The sequence below is a fragment of the Homo sapiens genome, chromosome 3 (genome assembly GCF_000001405.40).
Source record: "Homo sapiens chromosome 3, GRCh38.p14 Primary Assembly".
Classification (NCBI taxonomy): domain Eukaryota; kingdom Metazoa; phylum Chordata; class Mammalia; order Primates; family Hominidae; genus Homo; species Homo sapiens.
This window is the reverse complement of record NC_000003.12, coordinates 76028633-76047871: the sequence shown is the minus strand read 5'-3', so window position 1 is coordinate 76047871 and position 19239 is coordinate 76028633. Positions and strand designations below refer to the sequence as shown.

Genomic DNA, 19239 nt, shown 5'->3' with positions numbered 1-19239 from the left:
CTGATATTTTAAAAGCCCAGGAGTTCTTTATTGTAATAAAAATGTAGTAATCTGCAGATTAGATTATTAGATCAGAGACTAACACACTTCTTAGTAGAAATTAACTGGGGTTGAAGAATGTACATGCTTTCCAGACATACATCATGCACGCAGGCATATTGTCTCTGGTCTCAAGACTGGATTCAAGGCTAGCCTATCGGAACATCTACATCTTATTAAATTATGTTTACACTAAGTTAAAAGCATTTTAATATAATTATCGCTGAGGCTTGTCATCACGCAGAAATCCCAGAAGGATTGTGTTGCATGACAAAGCAGACCAGAGATCCAGATCCTGGGTGGTAAGCAAGACTGGTTCTCACCTCCACAGTGCTGTCAATCTCCACTGACGGCAATCTCTGTATCACTAACATCTATTAATGTCACACACATGTTGAGTGCAGGTTAGGTCTTTTCATAGAACAAGACAGACAGAGAGAAATGGAGAATGAATATTAGCTTTAATGAACGGATGCAGAGGATCAAATATTATCCTTAAAAGAATATTTTTGGTTCTTTTCATCTCCTCTCTCCCTATTTAGCTATATTTTTCATGAGGAATATTAATGCATTATTAGTCCACAAGTTCAACCTTTGTACACTGAGAAATAGGATTAGCATGGCTTATAAAATTTATCTGGGGGGAGGTTTCAGCTCTTGAGGAATTATACAGTGTATTAATTCTTACTTATTTAGGTTACAGACTGTTCAGCCAGGAATTATGTACCTATAATTAAGTACAGCATCGATAGAGATCCTATGGTTGTTACTTATATATCACTTCTGTTCCAAATGCATTTAAGTTGCTTGCAAATATAAAATATTTAAACTCTTTAGAAAGAACCTTTAGGAAATACAAAAATAGGGAAGCAAGATGGTGTCAGAAATGTGGTCAATGAACAAATGGATACTTTGACGAATCATGCACTGAGTCAGGGCAGAGCACAAATTTGACTTTGAGTTTTCCAATTAACATGCACAAAGGAGGAAATGTAACCAGTAACAAGACCATACGTGATATATTCTAGTTATTTGGGAGAAACACCAATATGAAATAAGAGAAAATATTTCCTATGGCCCCTCATAAAGAGAAGGTTTTATGAGGACCAAAGTAGTTCAGTAAGAAGCGACTGTGTTGGGCCCAGTATGATGTGGTCCAGTCAGGCTTTTTTTATTTTATTTTTTGAGACGGAGTCTGGCTCTGTCACCCAGGCTGGAGTGCAGTGGCGCGATCTCGGCTCACTGCAAGCTCCGCCTCCCGGGTTCACGCCATTCTCCTGCCTCAGCCTCCCGAGTAGCTGGGACTGCAGGCGCTGCCACCACGCCCGGCTAATTTTTTGTATTTTTAGTAGAGACGGGGCTTCACCGCGTTAGCCGGGATGGTCTCGATCTCCTGACCTTGTGATCCACCCGCGTCGGCCTCCCAAAGTGTTGGGATTACAGGCATGAGCCACCGCGCCCGGCCAGTTAGGCATTTTTTGATGGTCTCACTTCATCTTGAAATAGATTTTAGATTACATGGCAGAATGGATGGCTTCGTTTCCTCCAGGCCATCTTCCATAAATATTATTTATCTTATCCATGTGTCTGAAAAGTATCAAGCTGCAGTGAATTTGTGATTATAGTCCCTGACAAGGACCGGGAAAGCTGTAATTCTATGTTTTCATTTACGAACAAAGCTTTACACTCCAAAAGTCAACAAAATTGCATGTAGCACAAACATCCTCATATGAAAAGCAGGAGCTGGATAAAGATGGGCCTGAACAGATCACTCAATTTCTGACTTGAAAGGTATACAAGCAGTGCTGGCAGTCAAAGTGAAGACTTCCTCGGGAAAAAATTTTGGGACTACTTTAATGCAAAGAAAAGCAGGAAATGAAGTTCAACAGCTGCATTCCATAAAGCATACTGGCAGTAATTTGTCAAAAATAAATAAATAAAAAATAAAAATAAAAATAAAACTCTTCTACTGAAAAATGGCTCAAGCCTTAAGAAAGAAGAGGAAGAGAGAGGAAGGGAGAGGAGGAAAGAAACCACCACCAGCTACAGAGTGCTTGGTTTTGAGCAGCAAAGATTCCTGAAATACTTTCCAAAATAAACCTGTGGCAAAATATTGAACTTGGAAACAGAAATAGACAACTTGATGCACAAAATAATCAGTTCTAAAATAGTCAAAATGTACAAAAGGATACAGAGCATTTATGGTGTTGACTGAGAAATTAACAATGTACATTTGCTAAAAGTAGAAATCTGGGGACAGAGACTGAAAAATACAATGGTCCCCAAGGCTATTTATTTTGGCATTACTTATTTATAAAGTAAATACATAAAATTGAAAGTCTTTCTCTATAACTTGTGTCTCCAAATCTCCCAGAGTCTTTTAGTGTTTCAGATCTGGTCTGGCCTCACTCATTTTTGCTCTCAATCTGCCTGGCTCCTGAGGCCACTGGAGTCTGTGCTCCCAGCTCATGTCCATTCCACAGTGGAATGTGAGAAAGTAGTAAAACACAACAATAAAAATAAATAAGATTCTATGTTTGAGTGAGAGCAGCTAGAGGTGACTTAGATTAACTGAAAAGGTGTAAAAGAATTTTGCTAAAATCATGCCTCAAAGATTGTACAGTATTAATCATGTAACATGGCACTGTGCCACACGGGGGCACTATATAGTCAGCTTTCTCAGATGAAAACAAAATGTAACAGGAGTTTATAAAAACAAGATTTGATGAAAATAAAATTACATTCTCTCCCAGGTAATAAAAGAAATCAAAATTCTGGAACATTTAAAGACCTTATGTGTGGTTTGTAATAAAATGGAAATAGCTTGACTTGCTCTCACATCCGTTTCACCTGCAACTTGGCCCCTATCAGTTTTTCAAACAGCTTAGGAATTTTTCAACCTAAAGGCCTTTGCACATTCTATTTATCTCTGCCTAGGACACTCTCTGACCTCACTGTAATCTTTTAGGTCCCAGTTGAAATGCAGTTTCCTCAGAGACAGCTAACCTAGACACCTTACCTAACGCAAGTCCCTCTTACACAACATGCAACTATATGTCAGCCCTCTGTGTATTTTAGTCATGGCACTTATCCCAGAGTATTTTATTTATGCACATTGCACATTCCTATGAGTTTTTTCTGTCACCTTCAATATGCTTTAAGCTCCATGAGGCTAAACACCTGTCATTTTTGGTCACTGTTTAATCCCCAGAGCCTAGGACAGTGGGGCATAATAGAAACAAAAGCTATGTGTTGAATGAATGAATGAATGAATGAATGAATGAATGAATGAATCTCTGTGACTGTGACTTATTTCTCCCTACAAAGTTTGACTGAGTCCCACATTCTCACAGAAATCTTTACAATAATAACAAAAAAAGTAGTGAATGTCACCATGTGTTTTCTGACCAATAAATCTGAAAACTTGTCTGGAGGTTATATGAATTATGGAGAGTTCTGATATACTCTTTATTCAACATTGCTTCTCTTCTATTTAAAAACCTGTGCTTCTTTGGAAAGGGTGAAGTGGGACAAGCTGAAGAACACAGATGTTTGAGGGAAGAATGCTTACATTCACCCACTTCGTGATAACTTGGTTCCAGCTTTGGTCCTTGTTCTCTGACCCCACATCTTCCTTTGCTGCTATTTTCTGTATCTACCCTTGTTAAAACAGAAATACAGAAAAGAGGTTACAGAGGAGTTTAATGCTGCCCTGTCTCAGCATGAGAACAATACAATTCTCTTTTCTTTGTCTCCCAACTTTACAGGTACTTACTGTGGTGTATACAATGGTCACTTACAAATTAGCACCAACAAAAGGGTATTAAAAGTATTTGTTTATGGGACATTGGGGTGTAAAACACCACCACTCAACATCGTGATGTAACTTTACAAAACAATAGGGAAGGAGGTAGAAAAGACAAAATGCATGGGGTGGAGGGGAAGCACAGCAGGGCAAAGTGATCCGAAGACAATCTTCACATAGTTCCAAGATAATGTGGATTCCAAAAGGCCAGAGGCCATTTGCTCCTTGATATTAACTCCATGCTTAGCATGATACTAAAATATAATTGTGGATTAAGTAGATAAGTGCTTCTGGAAGGCTTAAACCAAAACTATGGTTGGTCATAAAGAGGTGGCAGTGTTTTTTTGTTTTGGTTTGTTTTGGTTTGGTTTTTTGGTGTGGTTTTTTTTTTTTTTTTTTTTTTTTTTGGACGATGAAGAATTGGTTAGGGTGTAAGCTCTGCATTTCAGGCTTCCATCATCAAAGACTGAAAAATCCAAGTGAGCTGGAGTCAATGTTAGGTCTTCTCCAGCCATGGTCTTTACAGAGTAGAGGATCAGCCCTCAGCAGGACTAAGGGAAATTCAGTAATCTTGTTACTCATAGGTCAGAAGCTTTGGGGTTGTGCTTTCTCCCTTTTTCAACCTGTAGTCAACTCAGCAAAAAGGCCCAGAACTGGTGAAGGAACAAAGCAGCAAAAAGTGAGGCCCAATAAAAGCTTTAGGCTCAAGAAGACCCCTTACAAACGAAAAGGGAGAGACTATTCCAGGGCACAGTATGTGAAAAGAGGAGATGACTAAAAGCACAGTGGCAAAATGTTCTTACACGTAAGGGATGTTCGTTAATGGACAAATATTCATGGCACTATGATCTGTTAGGACAAATGTAGAATCATCTGTATGCTTTAAATACCTTGTGTGTAAGATTTTAACTGTTTATTAGAAGTCCAAGAACCCCGTTGAAGATATTTGGATATTCCCTCCCTTTCCTTTCCAAGACTCAGAAACTATTAAGGGTGTAGCAGGACGAGCCACAGACAAAACCCCTCAGACACCGAGTTGTAGAAGGAAGGGCTTTATTCAGCGGGGAGCATCAGCAAGTTACTGCCTTAAAATCCGAGCTCCCTGAGTGCACAATTTCTGTCCCTTTTAAGGGCTCACAACACTGAAGATTTCACAAGAAAGGGTCGTGATTGATTTGAGCAAGCAAGGGGTATGTGACAGGGGCTGCATGCACCGGTGGTCAGAGTGAAACAGAACAGAGCAGGGAGTTTCACAATGTTCTTCCATACAATGCCTGAAATCTATGGGTAACATCGGGTTCTAAGTCATGAGTTGATTTTTAACTACTAGGTTTAGGCCAGACAGGCCCAGGCCTGGTTTTGGGTCTGGTTTTGGGCCTGGCACCGGGCTGCCTGTCTTTGATTTCACTTCCTTGTTTTTTTCTTAAAACAGGTACTGAGTATAAAACAATATAAAACAATATGAGAGGGTCTCTCTTCCCTCAAGGGTAAAAATAAGATTGCAACAAATCTAAATTTTATGGAAGTCAAATAAAAAACACTTAAACCTATGTAAATAATCGCATACATAAAATACTGCATTAAAATGCCTCCTAAGTGTCACATAGTCTTTAAACAAATACATTTTCAATGATAGCACAGCTTGTTGGTTCAGTTTCTATTTTAATCTCTGATATTCGCACATACCTGTGCACACCTGGAAACATCTACTACTGTTTCAAAAAGACAACTATTAGCAAAGTTCTTATATACACCTGCATATCATGCATTAAAATCAAGTACTTTATTCATTTCATTTCTTCAAAATTATGTTAATGTACTAATCAGGTATTAGTACATTAATAGGAAAGATCCTTTCTACAATATGATCTTCCTAGAATAAGCTACCCAACTTTCTCAAAGATGCAGAATGACCATATTTAAAGTTTGGATGAAATTTAATTCATCTTTAATTTGTTTCTGTCACTTTACTATGTTCTGGGGTGTTTTTTTTTTTTTTTAACCTCTCTCTCTCTCTCTTGCTCTCGCTCTCCCTCTCTCTCTCACTCTCTGTCACACACACACAAACACACATGCCTGGTGCTGTCAGTTCTGAGATTTCCGATGATCAAGAGAAACAGGACATCTTTTAAACTTGAAGTACATTCATATGTCAATGAATGGCAATGCGTTTGCGCCATTACAGACAAAATCATAGCCGTCTTTATTTCCAAAAGCCAAAAATGTAGGGATCAATCAACATAAAATGTCATAAGCAATAATTAAATAAATGCCAATAGAATGACCTTATAATTTTCAAACCCAAGTCAGATAAAGCTATAAGAGATATCCAAATGCCAATACTTATGATATTAATACCTGTAAGTGTTTTGTGGTATTAAGAACATGAAAAAACAAAAAATTCTATAAAGTTCAAAGTTCTTTAAAGTTAGATGGAAAAGACATTCATTGATATTCCAATGAAATTTTAAGATTTAGTTGGAAAATACACATATGTTTCTTAAGAGCTAAAATAATGCATTTGACATACAGACAAAGGACCAATGTAGGTGGGAGGGCAGAGTTCTGTGATTAGACAGGAGAATTAGAAAATCTGTTCCAAGTAACTCCAGGGAATGAGTTGTGTAACTTCCTCCTTGAGGTCTGAGGGTCTCCGACACAAAAGTTCTACATAAGTTTTTATTAGTAGCTCAGAAAAAATACAATCTAAAAAGATCAGTCAAAATCCTGGCAAAGATTTCTGGTCATAATAAATCATAGTCCTGTAGGATGACATTATCTTCCTCAGCAGTAAGATTTAGAATTAAGTATTTGGTATTGTGAGTATCTTCAGTTACCAGATAGTCATTGCTTTCATAATGTGTACACATCTCCTTAGCCTCAGCAGGATTTCCGATTAAGCATAGAAATATTTTAAAAATTTGAAATCCTAGTAAAGATTGTTTGGCATTGGAAAGGAACCAATCTGTGTTGGAAATCTACATACTTGTAATATTTAAGAGAACTTCACTTATGAGAGAAAGTTTCATTTTGTTTTTTGAGATAGAGTCTCACTCTGTCACCCAGGCTGAAGAGCAGTGGTGGGATCTCAGCTCACTGCAACCTCCCCCTCCCAGTTCAAGCAATTCTCCTGCCTCAGCCTCCTGAATAACTCTGGCACTACAGATGCACCCCACCACACCTGGCTAATTTTTGTATTTTTAGTAGAGACAAGGTTTCTCCATGTTGGCCAGGCTGGACTTGAACTCCTGACCTCAGGTGATCCACCCTCCTTGGCCTCCCAAAGTGCTGGGATTACAGGCATGAGCCCCCATGCCCAGCAGAGAGTGAGTTTTAAAGGTACAATATCAAATGTGCAGTTGAGTACTTGAAACAGATATTTGATTTTAAATTTCTTACTAATATAAACAGTATTGAAACATTTGGCAAAGCTTTTGGATTCACCATATTGATTGTTCTTACAAAAATAAAATTATCAGGGAAATTTTGTTTGTAGATGCAGACACTAAAGAACTTAAGTGAAATAAAATATATTACATTTGGAATTCCTAGTGAATTGGAATGATGGTTTCATAATTTCAAACTTAAAATATGTAATTATTTGCTTGATTTTGACATGGTATTTTAAATTGATATTTTAGTATTTATATATTATTTTGGAACAACTAGATGCATTTTAGGGCCACTATTTTTGTTAATTAGATTTATAAAAGTTACTTAGATATGCAGAAAAGATTTACCATCCTAAATTTGAAGCACTCAAAAAATAAGTTATAAAGGTTTATAAATAAATTTAAAAATATTTAAAAATGTTTTACATTTATAAACAAGATTTAAAAAATTCACAAGCCCTTAAAATAATTGCTAAAATTTCCCATTTTAAAAATAATTTCAGTAATGAAAGAGACCTAGAGATGAACTACACTTATAAATCTATAAATTGAATAGCAAATGTTAAAAATGAGCTTCAGAAGTTTTCTCTGCACAAAAAAGAAGACAAAAGAAGTCATTAAAAACCTACATTCATTTTTAATTACAAGTCAGATATTATTTAACACAGCAATAATATGGCCCCTTTCATGTAATGTACAGAATTCAAAGGAACCACAGGATGTCATGTCATTTATTCTCCGAAGTGGAATGCAATCAGTTCTGAAGATAATACTGATTAATTTGAGCCAGGCTTCCACCTACATCCCCTATGCAAATAAACTTTACAAAGCCTTTCATTACATCATATACAAATATTTCTTCTCTTCATCAGTCATATACTAATTATAGAGGCTCAACAAGGTAAGTTTAGACTGACAAATATCTATGCTTATTATTATAGATTCACAAAGAACTCCTTCTTCCTTATTAGTCAGATAATGTTCTTTCCTTTTACCCTGTAGACAAAGGATGTGATTCATTAGGAAGTATTCCCCAACAGAGAAAATGTTTATGTAAGCTTATTCATGTGTTCTTTTCAAATGCAAGGTAATTTAAATTTTCTTTAAATGGTTTTTTTCTTAAGAGAGTAGAAAAAAAGGAAACAGATGTTTTCATCACAAACACCATTTACCAACCAACCCAAAATGCATGGCCATTTATATTAAACAAGAAAACAAGTAGAATATGTGATTGCCTACATTTGTGCCAGTATAAATTCATTGTCCTTACTGTCAAATGAACTCCTGATGCTGCCTAAAAAAAATAGACCATGTTTATTTTCTCAATTCAACCCATCACCCTTCAAAATGACTATTTTACTCTTTTACCACAAACACAACTCTGTATTTCCCTCTTCTATCCTTACTCTTTGTCTCTTTCTTCCCTGAAACAAACAAAAGCCAAGACAGGAAACTGTACCGCATCCTTCTCTAGTCAACCTAATGCCAGTCTTTACTATGGCCACTTCCCCCACCTGTGGAGGAACATTTCAAAGTCAATTACGCAGTTTCTTCTACCTAAAACAAATTTTACATGTGCTACCATTTTCCTGATTTTGTGTTTCCTTCTAAACTCTTCAGTAAGATTGTCAACATTACCAATCCTAAGTCTCCCTCTCTTATTCCTCTACACAGTCCAATTCCATTGCTGCTTGCATGACTTGACCAATTCAGCTGCATTCACTACTGAAACAAAAGAGCTAATCACTACTTTGTTCCTATTGCAGACATTATTTATTGACAGTGTAAGATTACTAGACACAATCTAGCACACTCTTTAAACACACACACACACACACATACATACACACACACACACACACACACACGCAGTTTTCCATGTGCTACCAGTTGGGTTCCCAGGGAAGGAGAATGTCAGATGGCTACTAACAAGAAGGATGTCTTTTATGGAATTCTCTTGGGATCAATAGCTAGGAAAGTAGAGAGAAGCATGGTAGGACAAGGAGAGAAAGTGGGCCGGATGCAGCTTCAGCCCATGGGGACACTGGTGTTAAAATAACACTTCAGAGTTGTATAAAGGCCAAGTTCTAGTTGGAACGGGTAGACTGTGCCTTCCTAACCCTATATTGATCAGTCATGGGTTGCAGGTAGTTGAGGCCACCCTTAAGAGGGCAGTAATCACAGCACCCATCATACAATGTAATCTCATTCTAAGATGTTCCTTACACCTCTATAATTCTTGCTTCTAGATTGTTCATTACCAGATCCTACTTTCCTACTTAATTTTAAAGTGTTGAAGTTCCTCATAATTTCTTTTCCCCACTCTTCTTGCAATATACACTCAATGCAATCTCACCTACTCCTATTCTTTCCTTTAATAATGATAGACTGAAGTAACCCAAATTTATATCTGTACCAGATATTTCTTCTAGCTCTAGACATATATTTGCAAAACCTACTTGTAGAATTCTACTCATGATCTTCCCCTACTTCCTGTTCTTTCCCAAACAATCTTTCTTTTTTCTTGCTCCACAAACAGAAACTAGAATGATTTCTCTAAAAATACAAATGAGGTCAAGTTACCCTTCTGCTGAAACTTTCCGGTATCTTCCCAGTACCCTTCAGATAAGGTAAGAACATTCTTAAAATGACTCTTTCAAAGCTCTGCATATTCTGATCTATATTTCTTCCTTAAGTTCCTCTCTAGGTTAATTTTACTTATTCATACTTCCTCCTTGACCCCTGTCATTCAGCGAATCTTTCTTTGTTTTTAAAGTATCAGCTTAAATGGCACTTCTTTAAAAACTCATATTCATTGTCCAAGGGTAGTTAAGGATTTTGTTCTATAATATCACTCTATCTTTGTGTTTATTCAAATGACAAAATTATTTACTTTATTCTTTTCTTTCATATATTTTTCTCCTGTTTGACTGTGAGTTTCAAGGGGGCAGGGGAACAGATTATCCTATTTTTTTGTTGTTGTTTTTAGTCAATCCCCAGTGCCTAGAATAAGGCTTGATACACAGAAAACATTTTATGTATGTATGTACTGAGTAAAGCAGTATGATTGAAGAATGCATAAATAGTGATTGGAAAATGAACATGCGAATCCCAGCACTTTGGGAGTCCGAGGAGGGCAGATCACGAGGTCAGGAGTTCGAGACCAGCCCAGCCAACAAGTGAAACCCCGTCTCTAGTAAAAATACAAAAATTAGCCAGGCATGGTGGTGGTCACCTGTAATCCCAGCTGCTTGGGAGGCTGAGGCAGCAGAATCGCTTGAAGCCAGGAGGCGGAGGTTGCAGTGAGCCGAGATCGCGCCACTGCACTCCAGCCTGGGAAACAGAGTGATACTCTGTCTAAAAAAAAAAAAAAAAGAAAAAAGAAAATGTACATGCATTTTTAATTTAGCATGTGTTTCTACCACTGAATACAGTATGGGCAACATAGGAATATGTATCAGGATGATGCAGATGAGTAAATAATTCTGAATTATTTAATAGGATTTACAGCTAGGATTATTTTCAAAGGCCTATTGATATACAATGGAGATGGATGAGCATATAGTACTTAAGGGCAGAAGAAAATCTCACTGACAAATAGGGAGTCGAAATCAGAAGACAACAAAGAGGATGGCAAGATAATTGCTTTTCCAAAGTAATATAAATGAACACACTGAAAAACAAGCATGGGTAAGTTCGCTATGGTAAAATGTCCAATTATATACTGGGAAGTAAATGGAAAGGTTTATCTTAATTTTCGAGGTGAATAGAGATCTACAGGGATAAATAATATTTTATAGATGAGAAAACACATGTGAAAAAGTGGAGAAATGGCCGGGCACAGTGGCTCATGCCTGTAATCCCAGCACTTTGGGAGGCCGAGGTGGGCAGATCACCTGAGGTCGGGAGTTCGAGACCAGCCTCACCAACATGGAGAAATCCCGTCTCTACTAAAAATACAAAATTAGCTGGGTACGGTGGTGCATGCCTGTAATCCCAGCTACTAGGGAGGCTGAGGCAGGAGAATCACTTGAGCCTGGGAGGCAGAGGTTGCGGTGAGCCGAGATCACGCCATTGAGCTCCAGCCTGGGCAACAAGAGTGAAACTCTGTTTCAAAAAAAAGAAAAAAGGGAGAAACTTGCCCCAAATCATTTGGTTAAAAAGTAGCATATTTAAAATGTGAACCAGCCTGGCGCATTGGCTCACGCCTGTAATCCCAGCACTTTGGGAGGCCAAGGCAGGCAGATCACCTGAGGTCAGGAGTTCGAGACCAGCCTGACCAACATGGTGAAACCCCATCTCTACTAAAAATACAAAAATTAACTGGGCGTGGTGGCAGGTGCCTGTAATCCCAGCTACTTGGGAGGTTGAGGCAGGAGAATCACTTGAACCCGGGAGGCGGCGGTTGCAGTGAGCTGAGATCACTCCACTGCACTCCAGCCTGGGCGACAGAGTGAGACCAGGTCTCAAAAAAAAAGTGAGCCAATTTCTTTCTAACCTCCAAATGCACAATATTCCACGACATCATCCCTACACCAAAGAAATGTGTAGAAGTTTATAAAAATGGTTATTAATTGATTTTTTTTCAGCACCAGAATCAACTATCCTGACTCTAGCTTTAGAAATGTAAGTTAAAAAAAAGAGGAAAATAACTTTGAAGGAAGTAATTCTTCGAAAGCTGTTAGGACAATACAATGATTTGAGGGTCTTGCGTTTTTCCATGAAAAGGTGGAGCTAAGTCTGTTTTAGAGGGTGAAGGAGACACAGGAGTTAAAAATGTGCCAACACCGTGGCCCTTGGAAATAACTTGTAAGATCAGATGAAAATCGCAATCAAGACTGTCACTTTTTGATGAGATTGTTTTCAATCGATAATGAGTGCAGGCCCCCAAATGTGTATGGGAATTATGTGGCATATCAAGGTACATTTCTGCAAAACATACTCGGTGCAATATGGCTTGTGGATTCAACATTCCTTTATATAATTGCACTCAACTAATGTATGCCTTGGAAAGCAAGCACATCAAACATTATGTCTTAACAGACTTCTGAAAGAAAAATTGGAGTTGCTGGTGGCTCTTAAACAGTCTGCTGGTTATTTTATGGCATAGAGGAGAAAATCTACCCTGGAGAAAATCTAGCCTAGCGCATCCTCAGACTGATCACAGTCACCTTCTAATCATGCTTCCAGTCTTAATTAAAAAAACAAACAAACAAACAGAGAATCATACATGAGTTCTGTTCTGAATCATACTGGGATAATCCATGCTGAGATAATACTTATGCATCTGTCTTAGAACATGTCTAGAATATTTGTTACTAGGAAGACTCAGTATCAAAAGGGATTTTGGCATATGCGCATTAATTCAGCAAGCCTTATTTCTTAAATACCAAATATGTGCCAGACATTGTCCTAGGAAGAGAGGATTTAGAAAAAAAAAAAAAAAGATATATTTACATGTAGTCCAGCCATAGAAAAAGATAGGTAAGTAATTAAATGCAGGAGTATACTATAGCTTCAAAGATAAAACATATGAAGGTCTAGAAATTAGCACACATGGGATAAAACAGTCACTTCTATGTAAGAGGAGGCGATTATAAAGAAGATTCACATCAGATACAGTATTGAGCGAAGGTTAAAGAGAGAAGCACTGTTCTTGGACCAAGTTTTCTGGGAGGTGGGAGAGTAAAAGAAATCAGAGACCAAAGGAAGATACAACAGAGAGCGCTGAACTAGCAGCCTTGCAGGCCTCACCCAGACTGTAATCTGAGAAAATTACAGGCAGTTTGATTGGCTGGGGCACAGGCCATGAGGTGGGGCATGATGAATGATAGCTGGAACCAGGCAAGGCTCATAAATGTCACACGAAGGAATTTTCACTTTTTTCTACCAGCCACTGGAAGAAATTGAAGAGCTTAAAGCAAGATAATGGCACATCACCAAAAACATGGATTTGAGGTGATAAGACAAGAAGAAGTTACTGTAGCGGAAGCATTAGGAAGTAGAATTGTATAATTTAACTGCAAAATAAATATTTTTCCTACCCCCACAAAAACATTCTAACACACAGAACTAATGTGGGTTATTAATTATTTCACATTGTTCCCTAATGAAACAACATACTTTCAACTTTGTTCTTTCAGTTCTGAGTGTGCTTATCTGCAAGGATACATAACCTAGTCTCCACATCTTATCATAGAAAATTAGTATAGGTGACTTGTCTATTTCACACGGGGAGAAAAATATAATAGAAATAGATGCATTTAGTCCTTCTGAATTAACCAGCTAAGCTACTTGAGGAGAAGGAGATTATATCAAAATTTTAAACTTTTAAAACTAATTTAACATTATAACCACAAACGAGCAGATACATATTTTTTTTCCTTCAGGAAATAATTTAGAGAAAAACTTAAAATCCATGCTCCTGCCTTATTCAAAGCAAAATGATATTGGGTGCAGCTATTCATTTCAAAGGCCACTGCAAATGACCCATGAAAGCAGAGTGCTAGAGTGATGAAAACTGCCCACCAATGCTCATGCCTATGCCCCTTTTCTAAGGTGTTTGCCACCCTCCTGTCAAGAGGTGAAGTCTATTTCTTTAACTCCTGAATCTGGGTTGCCCATGTGGCTTGCTTTGATCAATGAAATGTCACGGAAGTTATGTTCTAGGACTTTTGAGCTCAGGTATTCAGTTTCTACTTTCCCTTTCGGAATTCAGCTCCACATAAAGAATTCCAGGATCTCCTATTAAGGAGGGTAACCACACGGAGAGACGGGAGGGTGACAGGCCGCAGGTAGAAACACAATCTACATGGAAGAGACCCATGGTGTTCCAGACAACAGCAAGTACCCATGCCACACGTGTGAATGAGGCCAATGGGTTCCACTAGCTCCAGGTGAGCTGTCCCAGCCAAAACCATTCAATCATGGACGAGTTATCTCTTCTTCATCCTGCCCATATTGCTGTCTCATGACATCGTACCCAATAAAATGGCTGTGATTTGAAGTCATTAAGCTTTGGGGTGGTTTATTACATAGCAACATATAAATAACAATGAGTAGTAAAATGCTTATTGCTAACTTTTCAGTGTAAAATTCCAGTGGCAGACCATGATGCCATGTAGAAAATATCTGGCTCAATTCGTACAAAAATGGCACAGCATGTGGGACTCAGAGGAAACACCACAGTAGCAGGCCCTATATGCACAGCAGGACACACAGGAAGCCAGTGTCCAAAGAGCTGAAGGTGACCCTAGGCCTTTTAGTATTCACACTAAGAAGTAAAAGCAATAGCACAGCATATCCTGGTCGGTGATATGTCTGTGTGTGTGTGTGTGTGTGTATGTGTCACAGCTACATTAGACCAGACCACGTGGTAATATTGTCTAAAGAAAGAAATAGAAAATACATAGAAAGCTCTAAACTTGTTTTTCTTTAGAAGTTATGTCCCAACCATGATAAAAGTACCATATTTTTCCCCCCTGAGGAAACAAAGAAAAAACAACAATAACATTTCTCCCCATTTTTTTTTTTTGCTGTTATATCCATTTTACGATGTTTTGGAAGTACTATTTATTCTTACTTTTAAAGCCAGTCAGAATGTGTTTGGGTTTCTCTTATTTCTGTCTTTTTAAGGCTTCAACATAAAAGTTCTTTAGTATATCACACATTGCAATATTAAAAGAAAACACTATCTTGTCTAAACAAGCAGTATCATATAATATCCAATTGAAACTAACTTCAATGTGTGTGATATGAATATTGCTTTTTGAAAACTTTATGGTCTGTTTGGACCACTCAATACGTAATTTTTAAACTAGCATGCCATAGTGTTTAAACAGTTTTTACATTAGAAATGTAAGAAGTGCTACTACTCCTCAGCAAATGTAAAAGAACAGAAATTACAACAAACTATCTCTAAGACCACAATGCAATCAAATTAGAACTCAAGATTAAGAAACTCACTCAAAACTGCACAACTACATGGAAACTAAACAACCTGCTCCTGAATGACTACTGGAAAAATAACAAAATGAAGGCAGAAATAAAGATGTTCTTTGAAACCAATGAGAACAAAGACACAACATACCAGAATTTCTGGGACACACTTAAAGCAGTGCGTAGAGGGAAATTTATAGCACTAAATGCCCACAAGAGAAAGCAGGACAGATCTAAAATTGACACCCTAACATCACAATTAAAAGAACTAGAGAAGCAAGAGCAAACACATTCAAAAGCTAGCAGAAGGCAGGAAATAGCTAAGATCAGAGCAGAACTGAAGGAGATAAAGACACAAAAAACCCCTCAAAAAATCAATGAATCCAAGCGCTGGTTTTTTTGAAAGATCAACAAAGTAGATAGACCACTAGCAAGACCAATAAAGAAGAAAAGAGAGAAGAATCAAATAGACGCAATAAAAAATGATAAAGGGGATATCACCACCGATCCCACAGAAATACAAACTACCATCAGAGAATACTATAAACACCTCTCTGCAAATAAATTAGAAAATCTAGAAGAAATGGATAAATTCCTGGACACATACACCCTCCCAAGACTAAACCAGGAAGAAGTTGAATGTCTGAATAGACCAATAACAGGCTCTAAAATTGAGGCAATAATTAATAGCTTACCAACCAAAAAAAGTCCAGGATTCACAGCTGAATTCTACCAGAGGTACAAAGAGGAGCTGGTACCATTCCTTCTGAAACTATTCCAATCAATAGGAAAAGAAGGAATCCTCCCTAACTCATTTTATGAGGCCAGTATCATCCTGATACCAAAGCCTGGCAGAAACACAATAAAAAAAAAGAGAATTTTAGACCAATATCCCTGATGAACATCGATGCAAAAATCCTCAATAAAATACTGGCAAACCAAATACAGCAGCACATCAAAAAGCTTATCCACCAAGATCGAGTTGGCTTCATCCCTGGGATGCAAGGCTGGTTTAACATATGCAAATCAATAAATGTAATCCATCACATAAACAGAACCAAAGACAAAAACCACACGATTATCTCAATAGATTCAGAAAAGGCCTTTGACAAAATTCAACAGCCCTTCATGCTAAAAACTCTTAATAAATTCGGTATTGATGGGACCTATCTCAAAATAATAAGAGCTATTTATGACAAACCCACAGCCAATATCTTACTGACTGGGCAAAAACTGTAGGCATTCCCTTTGAAAACTGGCACAAGACAGGGATGCCTTCTCTCACCACTCCTATTCAACATAGTGTTGGAAGTTCTGGCCAGGGCAATCAGGCAAGAGAAAGAAATAAAGGGTATTCAATTAGGAAAAGAGGAATTCAAATTGTCCCTGTTTGCATATGACATGATTTATATTTAGAAAACCCCATCATCTCAGCCCAAAATCTCCTTAAGCTGATAAGTAACTTCAGCAAAGTCTCAGGATACAAAATCAATGTGCAAAAATCACAAGCACTCCTATACACCAATAACAAACAGAGAGCCAAATCATGAGGGAACTCCCATTCACAACTGCTATGAAGAGAATAAAATACCTAAGAATCCAATTCACAAGGGATGTGAAGGACCTCTTCAGAGAGAACTATAAACCACTGCTCAACGAAATAAAAGAGGACACAAACAAATGGAAGAACATTCCATGCTCACGAATAGGAAGAATCAATATTGTGAAAATGGCCATACTCCCCAAGGTAATTTATAGATTCAGTGCCATCCCCATCAAGCTACCAATGACTTTCTTCACAGAATTGGAAAAAACTACTTTAAAGTTCATATGGAACCAAAAAAGAGCCTGTATTGCCAAGACAATCCTAAGCAAAAACAACAAAGCTGGAGGCATCACGCTACCTGACTTCAAACTATACTATAAGGCTACAGTAACCAAAACAGCATGGTACTGGTACCAAAACAGATACATAGAACAATGGAACAGAACAGAGGCCTCAGAAATAACATCACACATCTACAACCATCTGATCTTTGACAAACCTGACAAATACAAGAAATGGGGAAAGGATTTCCTATTTAATAAATGTTGCTGGGAAAACTGGCTAGCCATATGTAGAAAGCTGAAACTGGATCCCTTCCTTACACCTTATACAAAAACTAATTCAACATGGATTAAAGACTTACATGTTAGACCTAAAACCATAAAAACCATAGAAGAAAACCTGGGCAATACCATTCAGGACATAGGCATGGGCAAGGACTTCATGACTAAAACACCAAAAGCAACGGCATCAAAAGCCAAGATAGATGAATGGGATCTAATTAAACTAAAGAGCTTCTGCCCAGCAAAAGAAACTGCCATCAGAGTGAACAGGCAATCTACAGAACGGGAGAAAATTTTTGCAATCTACACATCTGACAAAGGGCTAATTTCCAGAATCTACAAGGAACTTAAACAAATTTACAAGAAAAAAGCAAACGACCCCATCAAAAAGTGGGCAAAGGATATGAACAGACACTTTTCAAAAGAAGACATTTATTCAGCCAACAGACACATGAAAAAATGCTCATCATCACTGGTCATCAGAGAAATGCAAATCAAAACCACAATGAGATACCATCTCACACCAGTTAGAATGGCAATCATTAAAAAGTCAGGAAACAACAGGTGCTGGAGAGGATGTGGAGAAATAGGAACACTTTTACACTGTTGGTGGGACTGTAAACTAGTTCAACCATTGTGGAAGACAGTGTGGTGATTCCTCAAGGATCTCTAACTAGAAATACCATTTGACCCAGCAATTCCATTACTGGGTATGTACCCAAAGGATTATAAATCATGCTACTATAAAGACACATGCACACATATGTTTATTGTGGCACTGTTCACAATAGCAAAGACTTGGAACCAACCCAAGTGTCCATCAATGATAGACTGGATTAACAAAATGTGGCACATATACACCATGGAATACTATGCAGCCGTAAAAAGGATTAGTTCATGTCCTTTGTAGGGACATGGATGAAGCTGGAAACCATCATTCTGAGCAAACTGTCACAAAGACAGAAAACCAAACACCACATGTTCTCACTCACAGGTGAGAATTGAACAATGAGAACACTTGAACACTGGGTGGGGAACATCACACACCAGAGCCTGTCATGGGGTTGGGGAATGGGGGGAGGGATAGCTTTAGGAGAAATACTTAATGTAAATGACGATTTAATGGGTACAGCACACCAACATGGCACATGTATACATATGTAACAAACCTGCACATTGTGCACATGTACCCTAGAACTTAAAGTATAATAATAATAATAAAGAAATGTAAGAAGTGCTAAATTATAGATTTTCAAATATTTAGGAGACATTAATATAATACCATGTTTTTTCTGAACACTTATTAAACACAGTTAACAAAAACAAATAGAAATGATAAAGTTTTGTTAATTTTTCATGTTAACTTCCATTTTTAATTAATTTCTGGCTTGAAACCATTGGAAATTTGTTTTTAACAAAAAAACTAAATATATTAGGTCCTTGATAGAATTCTTTTCCTCCAAAGAATATCCCCATCCCCTACTTTTAGCTAAACTGTCATAAGAATAATATGTTCTTTTTTTTCAGATGCTTCTTGTTCCAGAACTGTATACACAAGTTGGATGACTAAACTGATATTTGCATAACAAGAAAAGTGGTCTTTAGACAATTTGGCAAATATGCTCATAGCATCACTGCCAGGAACTAGCCCCCAAAATAGGATCACAGCAGAGTTGGAATGCCAGTGATAGGGCTTTAATTCCAAGCACACAACCAGTTAGAGAACACATTCAAATAACCCAGGCCTTTTTTTATGTAAAAATTTTTAATAATCATGGCATTTTTCAATGCAAATTTAAAATCTAGTCAGTAGCTTATGTTATTAAGAGACTTCATGGTTTTGACAGGTAATGATCTTTGGTAGAAAGGTCCTCCTCCTCTTCCTTCTTAGGTCTATTCTTGATTCTGAAATTCACACCACTGGAATTTTATACCGCACCATAGTTAAACATTTTT

At 37.6% G+C, this 19239-nt stretch overlaps 1 protein-coding gene across 9 annotated transcripts in view, besides 2 other annotated features; it reads right to left on the bottom strand.

Annotated features, from left to right (window-relative positions):
• The window catches only part of ROBO2 (roundabout guidance receptor 2), a 1743290-nt gene that overhangs the window by 1602093 nt on the left and 121958 nt on the right, over positions 1-19239 (bottom strand). The gene's annotated exons all lie outside the window — the stretch shown is intronic.
• Positions 3458-3990: an enhancer, noted in NCBI's record as "OCT4-NANOG-H3K27ac hESC enhancer chr3:76093033-76093565 (GRCh37/hg19 assembly coordinates)". NCBI's record gives its function as "activates a minimal SCP1, AML or CMV promoter by ChIP-STARR-seq in naive and primed H9 embryonic stem cells {active_cell/tissue: H9 hESC(naive and primed)}" and the evidence as "EXISTENCE:reporter gene assay evidence [ECO:0000049][PMID:30033119]".
• Positions 3991-4524: an enhancer, noted in NCBI's record as "OCT4-NANOG-H3K27ac-H3K4me1 hESC enhancer chr3:76092499-76093032 (GRCh37/hg19 assembly coordinates)". NCBI's record gives its function as "activates a minimal SCP1, AML or CMV promoter by ChIP-STARR-seq in naive and primed H9 embryonic stem cells {active_cell/tissue: H9 hESC(naive and primed)}" and the evidence as "EXISTENCE:reporter gene assay evidence [ECO:0000049][PMID:30033119]".